This window comes from Homo sapiens, chromosome 16 (genome assembly GCF_000001405.40).
Source record: "Homo sapiens chromosome 16, GRCh38.p14 Primary Assembly".
Classification (NCBI taxonomy): domain Eukaryota; kingdom Metazoa; phylum Chordata; class Mammalia; order Primates; family Hominidae; genus Homo; species Homo sapiens.
In genome coordinates, this window is record NC_000016.10 from 76,090,615 (window position 1) to 76,113,475 (window position 22,861).

At 35.6% G+C, this 22,861-nt stretch overlaps 1 long non-coding RNA gene across 1 annotated transcript in view; it reads right to left on the reverse strand.

Annotated features, from left to right (window-relative positions):
* LOC105371349 (uncharacterized) overlaps positions 1 to 22,861 on the reverse strand; it is a 57,270-nt gene that overhangs the window by 25,964 nt on the left and 8,445 nt on the right. The window contains exons 2-3 of the long non-coding RNA XR_933750.3: positions 17,537 to 17,728; positions 13,465 to 13,596 (exon numbers count right to left, since the gene is read on the reverse strand). This is a non-coding gene — a long non-coding RNA (uncharacterized LOC105371349). The remainder of the gene's footprint in view (positions 1 to 13,464; positions 13,597 to 17,536; positions 17,729 to 22,861) is intronic.

Below are 22,861 nucleotides of genomic sequence, written 5' to 3' on the forward strand. Positions count from 1 at the left end.
CTATGTGTGTTTCTGCAGGTGAGATGTGTTTCCTGAATACAGCACACTGATGGGTCTTGACTCTTTATCCAATTTGCCAGTGTGTGTCTTTTAATTGGAGCATTTAGCCCATTTACATTTAAGGTTATTGTTATGTGTGAATTTGATCCTCTCATTATGATGTTAGCTGTTTATTTTGCTCATTAGTTGATGCAGTTTCTTCCTAGCCTTGATGGTCTTTACAATTTGGCATGTTTTTGGAGTGGCTGGTACCGGTTGTTCCTTTCCATGTTTAGTGCTTCCTTCAGGAGCTCTCTTAGGGCAGGCCTGGTGGTGACAGAATCTCTCAGCATTTGCTTGTCTGTAAAGGATTTTATTTCTCCTTCACTTATGAAGCTTAGTTTGGCTGGATATGAAATTCTGGGTTGAAAATTCTTTTCTTTAAGAATGTTGAATATTGGTCCCCTCTCTCTTCTGGCTTGTAGAGTTTCTGTGGAGAGGTCAGCTGTTAGTCTGATGGGCTTCCCTTTGTGGGTAACCTGACCTTTCTCTCTGGCTGCCCTTAACATTCTTTCTTTGTAGCTTACAGTCTATGAAAGTATCTGACTTACGTTATTCAGTTCTAGTTTCTTTTCCTCCAAGTTCTTTTTTTTTTTTCCCTTGGAAGAGTTGAATTGCATATTCACTCGCATATGTGAGAAAATGGAGAATTCTAACTTTTATGTCATTCTTTCAGGTTATTCTTGAGGTGAGTTATATGGCCTTCAACCTGCTCATACAAAGTTATAGCACAGAAATAATGTCTATGAATTCTGGGAAGAAAGCAAGCAATCAGGCGCCTCCAATTACCCTGTCATCCTTAAACACACGTTTGGTATTTCAGCTAAAAAGCAAACTGTGTAAGACATAATTTTAACATCTCAGCCATTGATGGGAGAATGTTTTGTAAGCCCACCTACTAAAACAGGATCTTCTTTCTAGATTCTGGTTCAATAAATTGCTGAACAAGTGAAATGCATACTCTTCCACTTTTCCAGACTTGCTTCCTCAAACAGTCATATTGTGCCATTAGCAAATTGTTTCTGGTTTCTGCATCTATCATTTAGTTAGCTCATGAGACTGCTGTTTGGTCAGACTTGATAAAGAAATCTTGTCTGTGCTGTATGTGGCATTGGTCAGGATGGCTTGTGTGGGGGCAGATTCTACTTTTAGGATGGTTCACTCAAACTGGGGCCTTTGCTGCCCTCTAAGTGGGCTTCTTTACATGAGTTTGGTAATGGCTGCCCCACTTGCTTTACAGCATGGTGTCTGGAATCCAAGAGTGAGTGTCCAAAGAAGACAGAAAGTAGAACCTACCAGTTCCCTAAGACAGGGGCTGGATACTAGCATAGCCTGTTTTCCTTCTTCTGTTATTGGTAAAGCACAGAGTCCAAATTCAAGGGCAAGGTATATGGAACTCACTTCTTAATGACAGAGGTGACAAAGGAATTTGAGGCTATGTTTTAAAAATATCATATAGATTATTTTGAAATACGTTTGAATTTAAATTATAATTCCCTCTGAATCTATAGTTTAAGCAGGAAGTTCTTACGTTAAGGGGGAAATTCTAGTTTTATTTATTTTTGACAATGTTCTAGCCTAATTACTCATGGTACGGGATTATATACTATGTATCATCAGTTCTCAGAGTGTTTAGACATTGTTTTATATCTCAGGATATGATTTTTTAAATGAATCTTTTGGGAAATGGGAAAAGATAGGTACGTTTCAATGTTTAGAGGTGTATTCAGTATCTAAAAGTTACATCAATTTATCTTATTTTTTCTTTTTACTGTTGTTCAATTCTTTGATGTCATTACCAATTTTTGATTGCTTTTTAAAACAGACACTAGGATCAATTAAAATATCACATGTTAATGATAGATTTTTATTTTTCCTTTTAGTTATATAATTTTGCAAGTTACATTTTTCTTTACATGTTATTTACATACAAATTTAGAATTATTCCATCTTTCTTGTGAACCAAACTTTTTACCAATATGAAGTGTTCTCTTTATCTCAAGTTATATTAAAGCCTTTTCCAGCTTCCTATTATTTAATGTATTTATAATGTAAATTTTTCTGTCGTTTTACTTTCTGTGTTCTTTTATTTAAGGTGTGTCTCTTTCAAATAGATGTAGTTGGAATTTATTCTGTCATTCAGTCTGGTAATCCACATACATAATGTTATTATTATTATTTGAATTTTTAAGTTTAAATTACCGTTTAATTTTCTATCCCTTCCCTGTTCTTCTTCTTCCCATACTGTAAGTTAAAAGGTATATTTTATTATGCCTTTCCTTTCTGTAATTTTATGTTACATATTCCTTGAAAATTATTTTAGTGATTTCCCTAAAGATGCAGGTCATGCCACATACGTAACTGACTTATCAAAGTTAACACAGATAAAACTTTTTCTTACTTTCCAGAGAAAACAATATTCTTAGAATATACTAACTTGATATGTTATTGTTTTCAGGTATTTTAATTCTTCACATTATGTATTTTAAACTTCATAATGCTTTATTGTTAATATTTTATACCATTTACATTCATTTAGATTCACCCAATATTTTGTGTTTTCACTCAGAATTCCTTCTTGGCATTTGTTTTCTTACATCATTTTGTAGATTTAATTCTATGTCTTCTTACTGTCATAATTTCTATTGAGAAGTCTATTGCCAGACTTATTCTTGGTTCCTTGAAGTTACTGTGTTTTATTCCCTCTGGATACTTTAAAGATTTTCCTTTTTAGGGACATGGATGAAGCTGGAAAGTATCATTCTCAGCAAACTAACACAAAAACAGAAAACCAAACACCGCATGTTCTCACTCATAAGTGGGAGTTGAACAATGAGAACACATGGTCACAGGGAGGGGAACATCACACACTGGGGCCTGTAGGGGAGGTGGGGCTAGGGGAGGGATAGCATTAGGAGAAATACCTAATGTAGATGACAGGTTGATGGGTACAGCAAACCATCATGGCACATGTAAACCGATGTAACAAAACTGCATGTTCTGCACATGTACCCCAGAACTTAAAGTATAATAAAAAAAAAAGAAAAAAAGTTTCTGTTTTTACTTGGTTTTCAAAAGTTAAAATATGGCCTGCCTATAATTCCTTTTGAATCCATCTTTTCTTTCCTTTAGCTTCTTGAATTTGTGGTTTGATATCCTTTGTCACTTTTGGAAAATTCTCAGCCAGTATCTTTTTTTCTGTTCCTTCTTTCTATTCTCACCTTCAGTTCTCCAATAACATATCAACTTCTTTCATCCCATAAGCCTTAGTTTTTTTCTCTTTTTTCCTCTATTAATTAGTTTGGCCATTTTCTTCTTTCCTGTATTACAGGTAATTAATTTTCTCTTTGGACATGTATAATCTGCTGTTAAACACATTCGTTGTTTTTATTTTCAATTATTGATTTTTTTCCGTTGAATACATTCCATTTGCATCTTTTTATGGCTTACTGTTCTATGATAACGTTCTCAATCTGACTTCTGTATCCTTATGAAGAATTATTTTAAAGTTTGTGATAATTGTATTACCTGATTTTTGAATCTGTTATATTCTCTGTTGTTTCCTCGATTTTGTCATTTAATAACATCTGCTTGTAGTGACTTTTATTTTTATTCTGTGCTGGATATTGCGAATAAGAAATTGTCAAAATTATTTGAGCCCTAGAGAAATGTACCCTTTTTCCCAGAGCACTTTTAAGTTTGCTTTAGATGGAAAGTAGGGCCGTTAGCGATCACTTCTTGCGAAGACTGGTGTATCCTCAGCTTACCTGTCTTCTACGGTATGGTCCTTTTGGTTTCCAAGTCATAGACTTTGTGATTTTCCAAAGCCCTTTCTACTTGACAGCAAGTTAACTTTATTTTTTGAACTCTTAAACTTGTACATCTGTCAAAAAGACTTGTCAATCTTTTCAGCCTCTCAGCCATTTCTGAAATCAGCATCAGTTTCTGTGATAAACATGGCCTTAAATGCTGAGTTCATCTCACTGGGTATCTTATGCTGGACTTTCACTCTTTGATTTTTGTTGTCCCATAAACTCTTTGACACTTCCACACATACATTTTAAACTTGTTTTTGTTTTTTTCTTTTTCTTGTTGTTCTTAGTTAGAAAGTTGTTCTCAGAGTAAGGTTGGGCATTACCAAAACCAGAATTCCTATTTTTTCTTAATTTATAAAAGAAATTCTAGAAAATTATTTCTTAAGCAAATGTATACAAGTATAATTCCATTTTAAGTTCTTATTCTTTTTTTTTTTTCCTTTGAGATGGAGTTTCACTCTTTTTGCCCAGGCTGGATGCAATGGCGCGATCTCGGCTCACTGCAACCTCCGCCTCCCATGTTCAAGCGATTCTCCTGCCTCAGCCTCCCAGGTAGCTGGGATTATAGGCATGTGCCACGATGCCTTGCTAATTTTGTATTTTTAGTAGAGATGGGGTTTCACCATGTTGGTCAGGCTGGTCTCGAACTCCCGAACTCAGGTGATCCACCTGCCTCAACCTCCCAAAGTGCTGGGATTACAGGTGTGAGCCGCCGCTCCTGGCCTTAAGTTCTTATTCATAAATCTATGAGGTAAAGATGTTTAGGTACTCATGAAAATTTTCATCAACTCGTCTACCTGTAACTGTTCATCAGAATTCTGACTTATGTCTACTTAATTTTATGTGCTTAAAGATTAATGATCTTTTAAAAAATATCATTAAACGTTGAACCTGAAGAAAACTTTGAATTTCAGTAAGGTTTTCCATTTTATAGATGTGGTAATTGCAATTCAGAGCAATGGCAGCAGCAAGAATATCACCTATGATAAATGTGCGACTCAGGATTATACCTGTCTATATACTGCATGGTATTATTTGATTGTTTAGTTCAAGAACCATACTTATTCTGTATACTTGTATTATCTGGTATAAGTGCATGTCTCAAGGACACTTTAGTTCTAAGATCAATAGGACTATATGAGGGTTTTATCACCAGTGTTTGACAAATGTCCCCAATAGATTGTTTGATGATTTATCTGCACACAAATTATAGATCCTTGCCATGTAGAAGGAAACGGTTCCCCTTGTTAAAGCAAAACTTATCTGGTTAACCATTGCATGGACTCAGACCAATACTGAAAGATAACATCAAAGAAATTTTATTATTTGCCTGTCACAAGAATCAGAATAAATGGTGAGTGAGAAGATATTACTAAATAGTCTAATTTTTTACATTTAATAGTTTAACACATCTCACTTAGATTTGCCTAAAGGACTATAAAATAAGAATTTGAAAAATCATGTCACCTTAATCGTGCAATATAAAAATAAAGATAAGTGAAATCTCCATTATAGATAATGCAACATGTAGGCATCATATCGAGAGAAATTATTTTTGAAATGAAGTCCTAGTTCTAGTCTCCAGACATTCTATTGTCATCTTCCAACATGATAAAAATCTAATATATTTTCCTCTTTTCTACAGCTTACTATCACATACTATCTGTTAAATTTTATAAAATTCTGTGCCATATTTTAAACATACATCAAGTTTATCAACTTTATTCGTATAAATATGCATTACTAAGAATGTTTACTATTTTTATTTCAAAATAACCTTATTCTGAGATAGGAAACACAGTTTTGTTTATCTTTAACCAAACTAACTTACACTTTAATTCTCTCTATTGAACGTGGTATAGTAATTCTAATTCAATTTAATGTTTCAGTATCAAGTATTCTACATAATTTTTTGGTTTGTTGTATCTTGATTATTAAACATGAGTAGGTACAAAGGAAAATATTAAAATGAAGAGACTGAGGAACATATGCCCTGTAAGAATTTCTATTTTTAAAGGACAGGTTTTCAAATAAACATAGGCAGTTGGCTTATATGCATTTAACTAATTTCAGTACCCTTTGAATAAACAAAAAATGATACTAGTTTCTGAAAATAGAAGAAACATATCTCATGTAGCTTGATTTTAATATTGTGTCTAGCTTTTTTCTCTGTTACTAATATGTGTTGCTTGCAATTCACAAGCTCTTATATAATGCCATATAAATTTAATATGCCCTGAAGGGAATTTGCTCTAGGGACGTATTAAGAAGGCTAAATATGATCTTGAAAGTTATAAACTATGCTTTCCAATTTAGTGTTATTCAATCAGACCTAATTTATATTTCAGCATAAGCTGGAAATAAAATAGAGTTTGCCTGGTTAATGTCCAAAGCAGAGAAGAATTTCTAGCAAATTCTCTAATATATGCCTAATTGATACTTCTATTGATAAAAACCTGACAGTGTTTATTAGCATCCCTGAGCAAAAAAATCCTTCTAATAGCTGTTAGTGTTTTGCAAAAATTATATGTCGTATCTTGGATCAGTAATCTTATCTCAACCAACTTTTTCTTTCCTTGGCATTATTTCCCAATATAGACTTATGACTATGTTAATAATAAAAGTTTTACCGTAAGTCTGATTTAATTACTTTCTTTTTTTTTTTTTTTTTTTTTTTGAGTTGGAGTATTGCTCTGTCACCCAGGCTGGAGTGCAATGGCGTGATCTCAGCTCACTGCAACCTCTGCCTCCCAGGTTCAAGCGATTCTCCTGCCTCAGTCTAATTTCTAATTATTATTCCACATCTAGCCATTAGCTAGGAATTAGTCTTTAAGCACTTCTACTACATCCCTAAATAGTCCAAGGATAAAAGTATCTGTCATGAACATTAGTATATTTAGAGAAACCATGTAGTGTAGCTTAGACTGGGAAGACAAAAATGCCTAGATTTACAAGTTACTACCTGTATGAATTTTTAAATAGAATTACTCATTTAATTTACAAAGCATACATTTTGCCCATTTTAAGTACACAATAATTTTTAATAAATTTACAGTTCTGCAAATAGCATCACGATTTCATTATTTCTGTCTCTCCAAAAAGATTCCTTATGCCTATCTGAAGTCAGTCTCAAGTTTCACTCCCAGCCCCAGGCAAGCAACCTGCTTTTTTTTTTTCTCTACAGATTTTCTTTTCTGGACATTTTATATGAGTGGAAGTATATAATGTGTCATCTTCTGATCTTCTGTGTCTAGCTTTTTTCACTTAGCATAATATTTTTGAAGTTTATGTTTTGCATGCAGGAGTAGTTAATTAATTGTTATTGCTAAATAGTATTCCACTGCATGAATGTACCACATTTTATTTATCCATTCATTAGTAAATGGGCATGTGGGGTTTTTTTTCCAGGTTTTGACTATGATAAACAATGCTGCCAGAAACATTCAATTACAAATCTTTGTATAGACATATGCTTTCATTTGTCTTGAATAGATACCTAGAAGTGAAATTGATAGATTATATGATAAATTTGTATTTAAATTTTTAAGAAATCACCAAACTGTTTTCCAAAGCAGTAATATCATTTTAATTACCCCACCAGAAATGTGTATTTCCATTTTCTCCACAATCTTTTAAAAAACTTGTTATTGTCTGCTTTCTTTGTTACAGCCATTCTTGTCAGTGTGATGTGGTATTACATTGTGGTACCAACTTACATTTCCCTAATAACTAATGATGTTGACTGTCTTTTATGTGCTTATTAAAAATTCATGTATCTTTTTTGGTAAGTGTCTAATCTATACTTTTGCCCATTTTAATTATATCATTTTCTTCTTAGTTTTAAGAATTCTTTGTAGTTTATTGGTATGAGTCCTTTATGAGATGATTTGCAAATAATTTCTCCTAGTCTGAAGCTGGTCTTTTTTTTTTTTCTTAATGGTGTCTTTTAAAACACAAACATTTTTAATTTTGGCAAAGTCCAACTTATTCACTTAAAAAAATTATAGATGGTGCTTTTGTCTTTGTGTCTAAGAAAGTTTTATACAACCAAAATGATAGATATTTTCTCCTATCTTTTCTTCTGTGTTTTATTTAAAAACTTTGTAGTCTTAGCTCTTTCCTTTTAGGCTGTGATCCATTTTGGTTAATTTGTGTGTATGATGTTGGAGTGAACAGCCCTGACTCCTTCATATTAGGGGGAAAATTCAATCTTAGCACTTTGGGAGGCCGAGGCGGGTGGATCACCTGAGGTCAGGAGTTCGAGACCAGCCTGGCCAACATGGTGAAACATTGTCTCTACTAAAAAAACAAAGATTAGTTGGGTGTGGTGGCAGGCACCTGTAATCCCAGCTACTTGAAAGGCTGAGACAGGAGAATCACTTGAACCTGGGAAGTGGAGGTTGCAGTGAGCCGAGATCATGCCACTGCACTCCAGCCTGGGCAACAGAGTGAGAGACTCTGTCTCAAAAAAAAAAAAAAAAAAAAAAAAAAGTATGATGTCAGCTGCAGGTTTTTCATAGATTCCCTTTACCAGGTTGAGGAAATTATCTTCTATTCAGAATTTGTCAAGAGCTTTCATTATAAATAGCTGTTGGATTTTGTCAATTTTTTTTTCTACATCTATTGAAGTGATCAGGTTTTTTTTGTTCTTTACTCAATTAATATGGTGCATTACAGTAATTGATTTTCAGATATAAAACCAACCCTTCATTTCTAGAATAAATCCAACTTGATCATCATGTGCAATTGTTTTTTATATGTTGTGGATTCCGTTTGCTATTATTTTGTTGAAGTATTTTACATGTATATTTATTAGGAATATCTGTATGTAGTTTCCATTTTTGTGATGTCTTTGTGTGCTTTGGTATCAGGGTAATACTACCTTCATAAAATGAGTTGGGAAGTGTTCTTTTCTTCATTTTTAGAATATTTTATAAAGAATTGCTATTATTTCTTTTTTTAAATGCTTGATTGAATTAAACAGTGAAGCCATCTGTTCCTATATTTTTCTTTGTTGGAAGATTTTTTAATTATTAATTTGATTTCTGTAGTTATTATAGATATATTCACATTTTCTATTTCTTCCTGAGTCAATTTTAATAATTTATTCATTTTACTTCAAGTTTCTTGAAGTTTGTTCATTTCATCTAAGATACCTAATTTGTTTCCATAAAGCTGTTCATAGTATTTCTTAAAAATCCTTTCAATTTCTGTAGGATAATTGGTGAAGCTCCCACTTTCATTTCTAACTTTGGCAACTTCCATGCTTTTTCTGTTTTTCTTACTTTTAGTCTTTCTTGATAAAGATTTGTCAATACTGCTAATCTTTTCAAAAGCTCAAATTTTAAAATTTATTTTTAAATTAACAAGTAAAAATTGCAATATTTATGGTGTACAATGTAATGCCTTAATATATGTACACATTGTGAAATGGCTAAATCAAGTCATTTAATATATGTATTACCTCACTCACGTACTTATCGTTTTTTTGTCTATGGTGAGAACACTTAAAACCTATTGTCTTAGAAATTTTCAAGTATACAATATTTTGTTAGTAACTACAGTCATGATGATGTACAATAGATTTCTTCAACTTGTTTCTCCTGTCTAACTGAAATTTTGTATTGTTTAGCCAAAATATCCCATGTACCCCCAACTGCCAGCCTGTAGCAACCAACATTTTACTCTCCATTTGTATGAGTTTGACTTGTTCAGACTCCACCTATGAGAGAAGTCATGTGGCATTTGTCTTTCTGTGCCTGGCTTATTTCACTTAGCATAATGTCCTCCAGGTTCATCTATGTTATTGCAACAGACAAAATTCCCTTCCTTCTATGGATGAACACTATTCCTTTATACATGCATGCATACACACACACACTCACAACCCACCACCTCCACACACACATCTCATTTTAAAATTCCATTCATTTGTTGATGGACACTTAAGTTGATTCCATATCTTGTTTATTGTGAATAATCCTGTAAAGAACATGGGAGTGAAGACATCTCTTTGAAATAGTAATTTCAATTACACTGAATATATACCCAGAAGTAAGATAGCTGGATCATACGGTTATGTTTTCAACTTTTTTTGAGAAATCTCTGTACTGTTTTTCTTTTAATTGCTGTACTAATATATATATTCCCACCAACAGTGTGCAAGGGTTGCCTTTTGTCCACATCTATGCCAACACTTGTTATTTTTCATCTCTTTGATAACAGCCATTCTAATAGATTTGATCCCTCACTGGAATTTTGGTTTGCATTTCCCTGATGATTAGTGGTGTTCAGAATTTTTCATATACCTGTCAGCCATTTTTATGTAGTCTTTTGAGAAATGTGTAGTCAGATCCCTTGCCATTAAAAAATCAGGTTGTCTTATTTTCTATTGAGTTATTTGAGTTCCTTATTTATTTTGAAAGTTAATTCTTTTTGCTAACTTTGGGCTTAGTTTGTTCCTCTTTTTCTAGTTCCTTATGGTGTAAAGTTAGGTTGTTTACTTGGGTTTTTTTTTTCCTTAATGTAGGCATTTATCACAATAAACTTCCATCTTAGAACTGCTGTTGCTATATCCCATAATTTCTGGTATGTTGTGTTCCCATTTTTGTCTGTCTCAGAATATTTTAAAATTTCCCTTTAAATTTCTTCCTCTGACCCATCAGTTGTTTAAGAGCATGTTGTTTGACTTCCATATATTTGTAAATTTTTCAAGATTACTCCTGTTATTGTTTTCTAGTTCCGTACTATTGTGCAGGAAATATATTTGATATGATTTCAATCTTGTTAAATTTGTTGAGACTTGTTTTGCAGCCTAAAATATTACTTATCCTGGAGAAAGTTCCATGTGCCCTTGAGGAAAATGTGTATTCTGTTGTTGGATGGAATGTTCTAGATATGTCTGTTAGGACCATTTGGCCTAAAGTGTAGCTTAAGTTGAGGTTTTATTATTGATTTTCTGTCTGGATGATCTATCCATTGCTGAAAATGGGGTATTCAGGTCTTCTACCATTACTGTATTACAGTCTATCTCTCCTTTCAGGTCTATTACTATTTGCCTTACATATTTAGTCATTCTGATATTGGGTGCATATATATTTATAATTGTTATATCCTCTTGATGTATTGATACCTTTAGTTTATAATCAATATAATGTCTTTGTCTCTTTTACAGTTTTTGACTTAAAGCCCATTTTATCTGACATAAGTATAATTACATTTGTTCTCTTTAGGTTTTAGTTTGCATAAAACATCTTTCTCTATCCTTTCACTTCCAGTCTGTTTGTCCAGCAGTTAAGGTGAGTCTCTTTTAGGCAGAAAATATTTGGATCTTGTTTTTTTTAATCCATTCAGCCACTCTGCCTTTTGATTATACAATTTAATTCGTTTACATTCAAGGTAATTATTGATCAGTAAGGACTCAATATTGTCAATTTGGTAATTGTTTCCTGTTTGTTTTATAGATTTTTTGTTCCTTTCCTTTTGCTATCTTTCCTTACAATTAGGTGATTTTCTTTAACGGTATTCTTTGATTCCTTACTTTTATCATTTGTGTGTCTGCTATAGGTTTTTGACTTGTGGTTACCATGAGGATTACATAAAACACTGTGTAGTTATAACTGGTTATTTTAGGGTGATAACTTAATGATCAGATAAAAAATCTCAATACATTTACTCTACCACTCTCCATACAATTTATATATTTGATATCACAATTTATATCTTTTTATATTGCATACCCCTGAACAAATTATTGCAGTTATTATGTCAATAGTTTTTATTTTAACCTTCAAACCAAAGAAGTAAGTGATTTACATACCACCATTACAGTATTAGAATATTCTGAATTTGACTTTGTAATTATTTTTACCAGTGAGTTTTATACTTTTATGGTTTAATGTTACTAATTAGCATCCTTTTCTTTCAGCTTGAAAAACCTTTTTTGGAATTTCTTGTAAGACAAGTCTTTTGGGAATGAATTCTCTCAGCCTTTATTTGGCTGGGAAAATCTTTATCTCTCCTTCATTTCTGAAGGAAAGCTTTGCTGGATACAGTATTCTTAGTTGGGAGTTTTTTTTTTCTTCAGCACTTTAAATATATCATCCCACTCTTCCCTGGTCTGTTCTCAGTAGATTTCTGCTGAGATATCCACTGCTAGTCATATTGACACTCCTTTATATGTAACTTGCTTCTTTTCTTGTGTTTCAGGATCCTCTTTTTGTCTTTGATTTTATATAGTTGGATTATAACATGTCTTGGTGTAGTCTTTTTTGGATTGGATCTAATTGGAGATCTTTGACCTTCCTGCCCATGGATATTTATATCTTTTCTCCAGGTTTGGAAAGTTTTCTAATATAATTTCTTTAAGCAAGCTTTCTACTCCTTTTTTTCTCTTTGCTTTCTTGAAATATTGTGACCCCAAATTTGTTCTTTTGATGCTGTTGCATAAGATCTCATAAGCTTCTTAATTCCTTTTCTTTTTTCTCCTCTGTTTGTGTACCTTCAAATAACCCGTTTTTTAAGTTCACAGATTCTTTCTGCTTCATTAATTTTGCTATTGATGTGCTCTATTTCGTTTTTATTTTGTTCATTCTATTTTTCATCTCCAAATTTTCTGCTTAGCTTTTTAAAATTATTTCAATCTCTCTGTTAAATTTCTTGTTTTGGCCATTTCTTATTTTCTACATTTTGCTGAATTGTTTCTCTATTTTCTTGACGTTCCCTGAACTTCCTTAAAGCAGCCATTTAAATTCTTTGTCAGGCAGTTCATACATCTCCATTTCTTTAAGGTTGATCACTGGAACTTTATTTTGTCAATTTGGTAATGTCATATTTCCTTCATCATACTTGATCCTTGTGGCTATGTGTCAATGTCAGCACATACGAAGAGGTAGATACTTATTCTGGTTTTTGAAGACTTACTTTTTCTGGGAAAGCACTTCAATAATCAGCCTATCTCAAGATTCTGGCAGGGCATCTGCCATGGTCCATGGGAAGACTTGCTGCTGGAGCCCTTGGGCTGGCTGTCTTGGTGCCCGAATTCACTCGGATGGTTGATTGGGTCTGCTAGGGTAAACCTATAGCTTATATTCCTGGGGACAGGCCTAAAGCCCATGTTCTCAGGGCCAGTCTTGTGCTGGGGTGAATCTGAAGCCTGGTGCCACTGGAGCTGGCGTGAAGCCTGGGGCCACTGAGACTAGCCTGAAGCTCAGAACCACTGTGGCCAGCCTGCTACTGAGGGCTGTTCATAGTCTAGGGCAACTGAAGTCAGCCTCACAGTGGTGTAGACTGAGATTGAGTCCACTGCAGAGGCCTGAAGTCTGGCACTGGGGCTGATCTGGAGCCTCAGTTCATGGGTACCAGCCTGTATTCTGGGGCTATGGGGGTCTATCTGGTGCTGGCTTTTACTGTGGTGGGCCCAGTGTTGGAGTCTAAGGCAAAGTCCTGGCTGACTTCCCTCTCTTTCTCTCATGCAGAGGTTATCTCTCTCTACACTGTACTGCCTTGGGTTGGGAAAAAGGCAACATAGGTAATGGAAACTGTCATTTCCAGCCTCTTCAATGTATCTTTTCTTATTTCTGTGCTATTCCCAGGTTCTGTGATCTCTTACCTGGTTATTTGGTTCCCTTAGCTTTTGTGGTGGTGTTTTTGTGTGTAAATCGTTGTCAAAATTGATGTTTCTGTCGGGGGATTGTGGGCGGCAAGCCACCCAAGCGCCGAGGCAAGAGACCAAGGACACGAGCTGTTCCAGTATAATAAAATATAAAACAAGAATAGTTATACCAGATATAGATCTTAGATATGATTATATATGAATATCATTAATCATTAGTTGGTAGCAATTACTCTTTATTCCAATATTATAATAATTCTTGATCTATAATCATAACCTAGGAGAAACCAGGCCATACAGAGATAGGAGCTGAGGGGACACAGTGAGGAGTGACCAGAAGACAAGAGTGCGAGCCTTCTGTTATGCCCAGACAGGGCCACCAGAAGGGTTCCTTGGTCTGGCGGTGATGCCAGCGTCTGGGAAGATGCCCGTTGTCAGGCGGACCGTGGTCTAGCAGTAGCGAAAAGTGTCAAGGAACAACACCCGCTACTTAGCAGACCAGGAAAGGGAGGCTCCCTTTCCCCGGGGGAGTTTAGAGAAGACTCTGTTCCTCCACCTCTTGTGGAGGGCCTGACATCAGTCAGACTTGCCCGCAGTTATCCGGAGGCCTAACCGTCTCCCTGTGATGCTGTGCTTCAGTGGTCACGCTCCTAGTCCACCTTCATGTTCCATCCTGTACACCTGGCTCTGCCTTCTAGATAGCAGTAGTAAATTAGTAAAAGTACTAAAAGTCTCTGATATGCAGAAATAATGGCGTAAGCTGTCTTTCTCTCTGTCTCCTCTCTCTCTCTCTGCCTTGGCTGCCAGGCGGGGAAGGGCCCCATGTCCAGTGGACACGTGACCCATGTGAACTTACCTATCATTGGAGATGACTCACACTCTTTACCCTGCCCCCTTTTGCTTTGTATCCAATAAATAACAGCGCAGCCAGACATTCGGGGCCACTACCGGTCTCTGCGCATTGGTGGTAGTGGTCCCCCGGGCCCAGCTGTCTTTTCTTTTATCTCTTTGTCTTGTGTTTTTATTTCTACACTCTCTCGTCGCCACACATGGGGAGAGACTCACTGACCCTGTGGGGCTGGTCCCTACAGGGGATGAATGCTGGAGAGTCCTATTCTGCCATCGTGCTCTGCCCCTTTCTTAAGTCTATATTCTAATATATGATTGTTCAAAGCAAATTAATTACAATCACTATTTAATATTAGTCAATGTGCATTGCAAATCTTAGGATATACTAAAGATATTTTTGTTTATAATATTTACCATCTCATTTTCCATTAACTCATAAAAATGAGCACAATGAGGTGATAGAAAAAATATTTTCATGATAAATAAGAATCACTGTGGTTTCCTTCAGAGTTAATGGGCAGTTTGGATCAGTCTTTTTCAAATTCGAGTGCATGATGAATTACATTAATTGCATTTTCATGAAGATACCTATGTTCAGAAAGATGGCCTCACAGGAGCTATAAAGCTCTGTACCTCAATGGCTTTGAAAAAAATAAAAGACAATTATTTGGAAACTGATGTGTTGAGAAGCTTAGAATATATTTGGTTCTAAAGGCCTTAACCCACTCTAATTCTTCATCAAGGAAAATCAATCACAGGACGAGAACATGAATTAGATATCCCTAAATGTCATAACATTTATATATTGGATTTTATTTTTACTTCATTAAGAAACCAAATAAGACTGTAATTAAAGAAAACGATAGCATATGGCAGAGAGACTGTTTATGGTTTTCCCAACTTTATACACCATTAGAAATTCTATGCTGTGAAGGACAAGCCAAGCGAAATATAAGCATAATTGATTAGAAACTTACTCCACTTTTAAATCATAGGGAAATCTACTTTTATTTAATTTGAAATCTGTTACACAATTCTGTTTGAAATTGAATGCTCTAAAATTTCCCATGAAATTTGAAAGGGGATGAAAATGAATGAGGGAGCAAGGGCTTCAAAAGTCCCCTAACAGTATTATTTAATTTTAGAGACTTCCTTAGAGTAGATGTATCTTGAAATTTTGCTTTTGTAACTTCAGTAATAGTAAGTTAATCCCTCTGTTCAAGGGAGTGATTCAATAAAAACTGTTTGAATGCCTGCTATGTGCCAGGTGCTGTGTAATATTCTGAGAAAATAAAAAGCAAGGATGTTGATTTGTGTCCTCACAGAGTAGGCTGGGAAATAAACAAGTTAATATTTACATTGTGTGACAAATTCTATCTGGTCAGAGAAAAGTGATTGAGGGACAGACCAACATATTATCTTAAGAGTCACTCTGGATCATTCACAAATTATCGGGACTCAACTTTCCTTTTCCTTCTCACATCCCAGCTTTCTGCTTTCCCTATATAGCTACAGTTTTCCTTATAAGTATTCATGTGTTTTATAAGTCTGGACATACATATTTCTCCATGGAGTCCATGTTAATTTTTATATAGGTCAGTATTCTATGATGTTTCATTCTAATAGAGGACTGAGTCATCTTTAAATTTTTAACATTCCCTGTTTTCACTCAGGATTGAACCAGAACCACATATTTATATTTGTGTATGTTCGGTGTGGTGTATTGTGATGGTAATTGTGGGACGGTGCGCTATGTGGTATGATGCGATTTGGTACATGATATATTGGAAGTGGCATTGTATAGCATGTTCTGTTGTGTGGGTGGTGTAATACGTTCTGTTGGGGATAGTAGGTATAGGGTATGGGGTGTGTGGTGGGTTATGGTATAGTGTGCATTATGCACTGTGGTGCAGTATGTTGTGATGGACATGGTGGACATGGGTGTTGTGTGTGCTGTTGGGATGTGGTATTTGGCATGGCATGTAAAACAGTTGGAGTGGTAAATGTAGTGTATACATGGTGTATTTGGAGGTGCACGATGCAGTGTATTTGAAATGGTAGGTCTAGGAGTGTGTAGTTTGATATAATACGGTGCTGTATTTTATTATACAATATTCAAGTTCCATGTTTCTGAAGTCCAGCAAACAGAAGAAAGCATAAATTCCTGCAAATTAACAAGAAACACAGGTTGCGCTTGAATAGTATTTTCTATGTAAACTTGCTAAGTTTCAATATATCTTTCCAATGCTCAATGCAATCTGCATATTGAAGGCTTGTTAGACTCATGGCAGGGGACTGGGTATTCTCAAAATGAATAAGACAAATTAAGTAAGTATCCTCTAGGACCTCTGATTTAGCAAGATTATAAATGTGCCGCTAATGTGCAACTTTTATTATCTTGACAACGAACATGAGGTTTCCATTTTGGGAAGGGAACATTTTAGGGAAAATACCGTGATTGGCAGCTTGAGCTGGGAGGTACAGTCACCAGGACATGAGTACCCACAACACCCGAATCACATGGGGAGCTACTCAGTATGAGGAAATCAGATGACTTTTTATTGTTTTCTTTCCTATACCAAATAAGAGAAAAACTATAAGTGAGAGAGACATGGAAAAAAAAAAAGACCCAGTGAGATCATATTGTGTGAGGGCTGTTGGTAGTGGTAGTGGGAAGCTAACTAAAATCTTAAGAGGTTCTTCATGTTTAGAAACAAATGGTTTACATTTTTGTCATGTGAAAACACCTTCCATCTGTATATTTAAAACTTTACCTCTGTCTTTTAAAGTAGCCCTTAGATTTGGTAACCTCAGAATGATGTGTGGAAAGGCACTGGCAGAAGGTGATGTGATAGAAAGTAGAATCCAGAAAAGCTCAAAGGAGCCTTCAGCCAGAAGGGACCCAAGAAGGAAGCCCTTAGTGACTGTGCAGACATTGGAGAAGGTTCTCTACTACCCCAGGTTACAGTTTTAGGGACACACACTAATCTTAAGGGACAGGAGAGAGTCAGCTGAACTCTGAGTTAAAATTATGAGGTCTATTCTTCTAAGTATAAGTGAGGAAGAAACAAACTGATGTGGGAGAGTGGAATTTGTCATTTTAGTTGAGGCACAAAGGATGAGGGACACCATGAGGGAGCTGTCATTGACAAGAAAAACTGGGTGTCTCACTGACATAGAGAAAAAATGAAATTGAAAAAAACTTGTGTAATTTTCTTACATAGTAAGCTGGATATGGGACAAGAGAGAGCTAAAACTTCTCTTCTTATATAAAGCCATTGCTCCAGTGTAACTCTTCTGCTCACTGTGGCGTGAATATGTCTCTCTTTCTCCAGTCACCTCTTCTTCCCTCTTGTTATGCCTTTTCTGTTCTTCCCCTGTATCCTCTGGCTGACCAGCATCTCCTCTGCCCCTAAAATTCCACAGGACAGATTGTCAGCAGTTACTGGAAAAGAACATGGATTTTAGAGTTAAGGACAAACACATGATTCTCACTGTGGTTGGTGGACCCCAGGGCAGTCCCCATGATTCCTGCCCCCTTGTGTTCACACCTGTATAATCATCCCCTTAAGCATGGGTGGAACCTGTGAGTTACTTCTGACCAATAGAATATGGAAAAGATGAAAGGATATTTTTGCAGATGTCATTAAGGCCTCACATCAGTTTCTTTTGAGTTAATAAAAAGGGAAATATTCTTGGGTGGGCCTGACTTAATCAGATGAAGGCCTTCAAAGGGGAAACTGAGTTCTTTGTAGGAACAGAAACGTCAGCACTGGTTTTGAAGAATTAAACTGCCATTTTGTGATAAAGTCTATGGAGAGGGCTATGTAACAAGAAACCATGGTGACTTCAAGAAGCTGAGAAGTACCCTTAGTTGACAGAGAAAAAACAGATTGCACTGAATCTATAGATTGCTTTGAGTAGGATATGGAGAAAAGGGAACCCTTGTGCACCACTGGTGAGAACATAAATTAATACAGCCATTATATTAAACAGTATGGAGATTCTTTTAAAAGTTAAAAATATAATTACCATATGATCCAACAAACCCACTTCTGGGTATACACCCAGAAGAAACAAAATCAGCATTTTGAAGAGATAGTTGCACGCCCACGTTCATTGCAGCATTATTCACAATATCCAAGACATTGAAACAATGTAAGTGTCTGTCAGTGGATGACTGGATAAAGAAAATATCACACACATACACTGGCATATTATTCAGCCACAAAAAGAAGGAAATCCTGTCATTTGTGACAACATGGATGAATCTAAAGGGCATTTTGCTCAGTAAAATAAGTCAAACAGAGAAAGATAAATACCATAAGATTTCTCTTATATGTGGGGTTCAAAAAAGGCAAACTCATAGAAACAGAGAGTAGAACGGTGGTTGTCAGGGACTGAGGGGTTGGGGGAAGTGGGAAGGTGTTGGTCAGATAGTACAGGTTTTCAGTTAGAAGGTAAATTCTAGGATCTAATGTACAGTTTAGTCACTATGGTTAATAATACTATATTGTATACTTGAAATGTGCTAAGAGAATGGATCTTAAGTTTTCTCATCACACACATGTAACTATGTAAAGTGATGGATGTGTTAACTAACTCGATGGTGGTACTCATTTCACAAAATATACATATATATCAAGACATCATGTACGCCTTAAATATATACAATTTTATTTGTCAATTATACTTTAATAAAATTGGAAAAAATAAAAAATTTAACAACAACAACAAAAAAGGAAGAAAACAGAAACCCCAGTCCTATCACTGCAAGGAGATGAATTACATCAATATCCTGAGAGGGCTTGGAAACAGATCTTTCCACATTTGAGCCTCTGATGAGACCATAGCCCTGGATGATACCTGGATTTTAGCTGGTGTGATCCTGAAGTAAAGAACCCAGGTAAACTGTGATTGGACTTTTAACCTACAAAAACTATCAGCCAATAAAGGAGTTTAGTTTTAAGCTGCTAAGTGTGTGGTAGTGTGTTATGCAACACAGAAAACTAACATATTAATTTTAGGGAAAAAGCAAAAGTGGACTGAATTATGCACCACAAAGATCTCAGTGGTCTGAAATAATAGATTGATGCTTGAGGTGATAGAAATGCCTACTGGTAGTCAGAAACTCAGGGGTGGGATCTTGTATCCAACACATACTGCTGGGTGACCTTGAGGAAGTATTTGTTTAATTTTTTAGGCTTTGTGTTTTATTTGTTGTGAAGTAGGGACATTAATGATAACTGTCAGTCTGCTTGTGCTGCCATAACAAAATATCATAGGCTAGTTGACTTAAACAACAGAAATTTATTTTCTCACAGTTCTGGAGGCTAAAAGTCCACAATCAAGATTCTGGCTGATTTGGTCTCCTGTGAGGGCTTCTTCCTGGCTTGCAGATGTTCATCATTTCACTATATTCTCACATGGCCTTTCCTCTGTGCATGCAGGTGGAGGGAGAGGAATGGCTCTCTGGTCTCTTCTTATAAGGACACTCATTCCATCAGATCAGAGCCTCACCCATATGATCTCGTTTAACCTTAGCGGCTTCCTTACTCCAAGTGCATCCACACTCAGGGTTGGGGCTTCAGCCCTATGGTTTTGGGAGCACACATACGTTTCGTTTCTAACAGTATCCTTCCTTATAGAGTTTCATGTACCCCATAAATGATCTGTAATACATATATCTATAGCATATAAAGAATACCTTGCAAAATAAGGAAAATGATGACCAAATCAACAGAAGATTTGTCAGAGGGATCCCTAAAATTAGCTGAAAAGATCATTGATGTCCTTAATAATATATGTCGATGAAAACAATTACCTTTTTGCCTATCAAATTTGCAAAGATTAAAGTAATTCAAGGTTCTCAGTGATGACAAAATGTGGGAAACAAATATTCTCAAACACGTTGCTGATTTGACAATTTCTCAAAATTTAAAGTGCACATACAATGTAAGCATTTAAGAAGATATCTATTAGAATACAGTTAGTGGTACCAATATGTTAGACTCATCTAAATGTTCCATTAAGAGGACAGTAGTTAAATAAATTACTATTGATATCACTAGCAGTTTGGAAAAAAGCAGATAGATCTATTTGTATTGATTTTTAAATAAGGCCATTATATAGTATTAAGTGAAAAGAGTTGGAAGTCATTTCTTGTAGTGCATTACTATGATATCTTATTTGCAAATGTACTTACATTGTGTATAAATGTATCACTAACAACAGTAATGATACCTGGATATTGAGATTTTGGGATGATTATTTTTTGAATTTTTTTCCTTTTTTTAAATTATATTTTAAGTCCTGGGGTACATGTGCAGAATGTGCAGTTTTGTTACATAGGTATACACGTGCCATGGTGGTTTGCTGCACTCATCAACCCGTCATCTACATTAGGTATTTCTCCTAATGCTCTCCCTCCCCTAGCCTCCCACCCCTTGACAGGCCCTGGTGCATGACGTTCCCCTCCCTGTGTTGATATGTTCTCACTGTTCAACTCCCTCTTATGAGTGAGAACATGCAGTATTTGGTTTTCTGTTCCTGTGTTAGTTTGCTGAGAATGATGGTTTCCAGCTTCATCCATGTCTCTGCAAAGGACATGAACTCATCTTTTTTATGGCTGCATAGTATTCCATAGTGTTTATGTGCCACATTTTCTTTATGCAGTCTATCATTGATGGTCAAATAAAGTTTTTTTTTTTTAAAGTAGACTGACTCATTTTTCATAAGAACTTCTAAATAATTAACAAGCAAATATCCCTTTTTAAGATACAATCCTAGAGATTTTTATTTTGTTTTTAGCCAAATAAAAATTATTTACCCTTATGACTGTGCTGAAGCTTACCAATATTACTGTATTAGATTATTCTACTTCTCTGTTCTTCACTTGGATGAAATACCTCCCTCTCTCCCTCTCCCTTCCCCCCTCCCTCCATTCCTCCCTTCTTTCCTTTCTTCCTTCCTTCCTAGATGGGTTATTAATATTACTAAGTTGTCTAAGCTACATTCAAACTCCTAGGCTCAAGTGTTTCTCCTGTTGGCCTCCCAAGTAGCTGTGACTACAGGCACAAGCCACTGCACCCGGCCTATTTCTTCACTTTTAACAATTTCTGTTAAATAATTCATTTGAATTGGTTTGATGAGTTATGTTTTATGATTCTGCCTCTCTACAAAAGAGAAATACAAACTTTATGAATGGTTGCTTTGCTGAAATTAAAGGAACCAGTCACTTTTTGAAAGTGGCAAAAAAAAAAAAGAAGAAAATATTCTTTCGGTAATTTTGTACATGATTCTGTTACAGAGCTGCCATTCCCTCATGCACAGATGAGATCTGTCTGTTTGGTTATGCATATATGACCTGAATAACATCCCCACTCTCATCTCGCCCATTTTTCTTTTATCAGCGCTTCTATTACTTCATTAAGAAACAAATTATACCATGATTATATTTAATGAACATGTCTAAGTCACTGTGTATGCAGTCACTGTGAATTTTATACCCAATCCATCTTTTCTTTTTTATTCATTTTTCTCTAAAGTCTGTATGTTTTTATAGGCTATAATCATGACTTAAATTTTATTGCTACAAAATAATGTGTTTATCTAACTCAAAAGGGAAATCCTATAAAGGCCATATGTTACTGGCCCTAAGCCAGCATGATTTATGATAAGACAGTGCTGTTTAAATGGTTAGGAAAATAGTTTGGGAAAACAACTCAATCCAGTACTTTTAAACCTCAGTACCAAGAATGAAACAAACTCTTCTCTGAGTCATGCTGGTTATAGCACTCTATCATACCTTCCTTCTTCTTGGTAATGAAATGTTCTTGGTTCTGTCTGGCTCTTGGTGCCTGTTCAGGTTCTACAGTAGACTCAGGGCAAACAACCTGCAACTTCAGTTTGAGATGCACTAGCTCTGTCCAAACGTCTTGGCAAATGGAAATATACACAATATTCGAGACGATTGCCTACATAACTAAGGAACCAACACATGTTTTCCTTAAAAATATCAACACTCAGGCTGAGCGCGGTGGTTCATGCCTGTAATCCCAGTGCTTTGGGAGGTCGAGGCAGGCAGATCACGAGGTCGGGAGATCAAGACCATCCTGGCCAACATGGTGAAACTCTGTCTCTACTAAAAATACAAAAATTAGCCAGGCGTGGTGGCGCATGCCTGTAGTCCCAGCTACTCAGAGGCTGAGGCAGGAGAGTCGCTTGAACCCAGGAGGCGGAGGTTGCAGTGAGCCGAGATTGTGCCACTGCACTCTAACCTGGCTACAGAGCAAGACTCTGTCTGGAAATAAATAAATAAATAAATAAATAAATAAATAAATAAATAAATAAATAAATGATTGAAAGAAACACTCTGATGCCTGCATTAAACAAATTGACCTTTTTTTTTTTTTTGCTGTCTGAGAAAGCAACTTATGTAAGACATAGGTAAGGAAAAAAGACATTTGGAGGTGGAATTTAATCTTATGGCTACAATCAGTATTTATTTCTCCCACTTTCTTTCACATTATTAGTTACATTTTCA